Source organism: Homo sapiens, chromosome 2 (genome assembly GCF_000001405.40).
Source record: "Homo sapiens chromosome 2, GRCh38.p14 Primary Assembly".
Classification (NCBI taxonomy): Eukaryota; Metazoa; Chordata; class Mammalia; order Primates; family Hominidae; genus Homo; species Homo sapiens.
The window spans coordinates 164,012,627-164,016,664 of record NC_000002.12 but is presented as its reverse complement, the minus strand read 5'-3'; the positions used below and the strand labels follow the sequence as shown (position 1 = coordinate 164,016,664).

Here is a 4,038-nt window from a genome sequence, read left to right as displayed (position 1 = left end):
TGGATTATATATACATTGTTTCACGAAGTTTTGCTCAAGAGATCACTTGTAACATCCAGTATTCCTCAGCAGTTTCAGTCTGAGAAATGGGACATTCTTTACCCCACATTTTATAGATTTTGGATAATAGTATGGGTGCTTTTTTCCCCCAAGGCTAGGAGTAGGGCATATACTTGCCAGAAGCCACTGTGAGCCCAGAAACACAACAGCATGCTTATTTTAAATGATAGAACAAATTATTCCTGTTTGTGAACAAAAAAATTAACATTTAAAAATATTTCAATTTGGAGAATTTGGGAAGAATTATCAGCACATTTGAGATGTGGGAGGAGTGTTATATTTTATTGTAAAGTCATTTGCTAAATTATTTATCCCTGTTCTTTCTGACCATCTTATTAAATATAGAAGTGTATTTAAGTCTTAATATTAGAGAAAAGAGATTGCACTGTTAGCCACTCAGCTACCCTTTTATATTTGCCTGGTAGGTTGAAGCATTCCCTGGCATCAGTCTTTCAATAGATTGAAATTAATATCTCTAATTCCGACTTTAACCTAGGGGTTTGCTGTTATCTGATGGTATGTTAATAGTGCTACACGAGTCGTAAGCCTGTCCCCTCAACCTAGAGAGTTCATTAGGCTTTCTATGAGGTGAAAAAGAGGAGCAGGAAGCCAGTGCCAGTTATTCATTGCCTTATGACTCAATTCTAATCACTTCAGTGCATGTGACTGACAGAGAAATGCTCTCTGCCGTGATTGAGGGTATTGATTTCCCAACCCCTTTCGGGGCACACTAGACAGACACAAACAGAGGCTTCGGCTTTCAAAAAACCTCTTCATCTGCCTTAATCACCTGATCGATAATCAGCATCAAGACTAGGGATCTTGAACAAAGCCTCCGCCAATGTCTTTATTTTCTTTCTTCCATTGGGCTACAGATCTGCTGAGTCAAGGTGATCTTAATAGATCAGAAAGTGAACAGTAAGCAACAACGGTAGCAGCCTTTAGTGACAGTTGTTAGATCTAGAAGTTCCCATTACAAAAAAATGTAACTGTTTCTCTCTTCCTCCTCTCCACCCACATCCTTCATGGACCATTGGCTGGCAAACTAACCCCTGCATACATGGCTGAACACTCTGAGAGCCAGCAAGTGAAATCACTTCTGTGACCCAACCAACTGGAACACGGAGTGTGGGGGAGTGGGAAACATTCATAGACAATGAGCTAGCTCATGAGTTTCATATTTTACAGTGGAAGACCACAGGCAAAGTTAAGTCTGAATTATATCTGAGAACGGAACAATAAGTAATGTGAAACACTCAGCTCGCCCAATACTGAGTGCCTCTAGACAAAGCTTTCCATTTCAAGCTTTTAAATATTTGAAAGGTAAGAGTATGCTCTATTTAAACATTTTATAGAACATTTCTCGTTCGGTTTTTTTAAAGTATTTTGATCAGTCACATCTATTTGAAGCTCTGACATTTTAAAATTAAAATTGAAACACTGTTTCCACATCTTGGAAAAAATTTTAATAAATGTTTAAAATTAACTTGTAAATTAAAGGGCTATCTTTAAATCTTGGCATTGCCCCTTCCTCCAAAAGTGTGTAACATTACCTTCCTCAAAAGTTTGCTTTGTTAGGATTTTAAGGGGAATTTTTTTTCTATAACCCCACCGATTTGATTGTGGTAAATGGTTAATTTGTGGTCCTACTTAAAGAATTTTTTTATTCAGCTCTAAGAATTCCCTACTGAATGGAAAACAGTAACACTTATCAAATACCATCTATATTGCCAAAGTGTGAAATGTTTCCAATTAGAATTTCATTCATGTTTAGCCAATTTTTCAATTGAATTAAAAAAGCATAAAACACACATAATCTAATGTATCCTCTGTGACGAGTGAGTCTTTATTTTGCTGAATTCAGAAGAGCCTCATCCAATATAATCACTGCATTCATTCCAATTATAAGAGCAAAGTTGTGCAGACTTCTTATATGTTATGCGATGTCAAGAAGCACAGTGCCCAGCACTAATACCTCCAGTGAAAAAGGCAGCGATTTCCCACAGCAGCGCCTTGATTTAAATTACAGAGCACATTTATTATGCTTCTGTTCCTCAGACTGTGAAATACCATAGTACAGTAGCTTTGTTCTGACCCCTTCTCCAAAGCCCTGCCTCAAAGTGTGACTAATCTAGTGCCGGATGACAGCTAACTTCAACATCAGACAACACGAAAATTGAAGACACTTTTTATCCTCTTGCCAATCTGCGAGTGTCTGAATAAGCCTCGTCAACTTCATTACAAACTCATCATCTCTTGTGTAGATAATGATAGCCTAGGCTGGTGGAGAACTCAGCTTCTTGTTGTTTTTACTGACTTTCTCTGCCTTCAGGCCAAGCATCTGTGGGGATAATGAATGGAGCAATTCTTTTGGCACAAAACAAAAGGCTCTTGGGGTGGGGAAAGGCCCATGGCGTCAGTCTAGGCACAGCTCTCACAAACGAAAATTCTTTGTTATGAATCGCTCCTCAGAAAATAGCTCTATCGTAACCAGAGAAGTGAAGGACACAGAGTAACTTTGTACTGAGGCAGGGAGGTTAAAGGCAGTGACCATGTGAAAGAATTTCAGAGGGATTTGATTCTTCTTTTATTATTTTATTTATTTATTTATTTTAGGTGCCTTTAGCTAAAGCCTATTTGTACCAGATAGAATAACTGTACAGTACCAGCTGAACTATTTAGGATACATTCATTCTAGCATTTCAAAATGGTAGACTTTCTGAATTAGTTCTCCTAGAACTACTGATGGGGTGTGTACAGAACATATAGAGAATGTGAGAATATAGCAGTAGGGAATGTACAAAGATCCAGGAGCACCTTTTAAAGCAAAATTCATCTATTATACTAGTATATGAATATATATCATACCTTTCCCTAGTCTGTTGAGACAGAAGTTAGAGCTCATAATCATCCAAAATTTAAAATATTAAAAATAAGTTTTTACAATTTTATGAATTGTGTGATTAAGAAACGTGGGTGATAGCTAATTATGCCTTACAAGTATGGTAGCTTTATATCATTTATACATATCCCTAATAACTATTTGATCACTTAGCAGATTCTGCTACTAGGCATATTAATCGGTGGCACATTTAGTAAAAAAGATCTTTGTTAAGTAGTGTGGCTGAATATGATAGTTATTTTACCAATTTCTTTTTCTCTTTTTAGAACGTGAAGTTAGTGTGACAATCCCACAATAAAACCCACTCTCTTGAAATTTGATCATTTACTTTGAAGTGATATTCAGCAATTAAATTTTGTATTTCTTTCAATGTTCGTTATGAAAATTGATGTCAATTTTCTGTCTCCTCACCAATTGAAAATAGCTTCTGCATATTATGTCATCTAGTCCATCTGTGATATATAAGGCGTGCCTAGGTAGGATATTTATTAATTTCATTTTAGATTGATTATTTTCATGTCATTTTCATGTGGGCACTTAGGAAGCAAGGGATGAATGAATACAATGCCACTAAGTCAATTTATAGTATCATGAGCAATTCCAGTAATAACTGTAGAGGTCATAAAAAGAGAAAAACAATAAGAGCTAGGGAAAAGCTATCTACAAATCTTTAGCTAAGAGACAACTATTTTGTGTTCTTTTGTTGTTGTTGTTAAATAATATCCTTAGGCATTTGTTTCTCATAATTAAGCAGCAAATGCTGTATTTTACATGGAGATACACTGGTATCTGTGAAGAGAACAGATTAATGTAATGTTTTGCTACCTTTGACCTTGTATCCTTGAGTCTCTTGATTCTATGTCACCAAACATAGCACTGTAATAGAGTTGAGGTCCAGCTAATAGTGTGTGCTATTCTGACTGTCATGCTCCATCATTGTAACTTACTGCATGAGGTCCCCAATGTAGCCTCGTGTGCACATGTACACATGCACGCACATGAGCGCATGCACCCACACACAGAAAATTCCCACTGACAGAAAAAAAAAGTAATCAGAGAATGCTTTTAAATACAGA

General features: G+C 36.5%; 2 annotated features.

The window, feature by feature from the left end:
• Positions 888-1,037: an enhancer, noted in NCBI's record as "active region_16724". NCBI's record gives its function as "activates an Ori minimal core promoter by ATAC-STARR-seq in GM12878 lymphoblastoid cells {active_cell/tissue: GM12878}" and the evidence as "EXISTENCE:reporter gene assay evidence [ECO:0000049][PMID:35858748]".
• Positions 1,078-1,127: an enhancer, noted in NCBI's record as "active region_16723". NCBI's record gives its function as "activates an Ori minimal core promoter by ATAC-STARR-seq in GM12878 lymphoblastoid cells {active_cell/tissue: GM12878}" and the evidence as "EXISTENCE:reporter gene assay evidence [ECO:0000049][PMID:35858748]".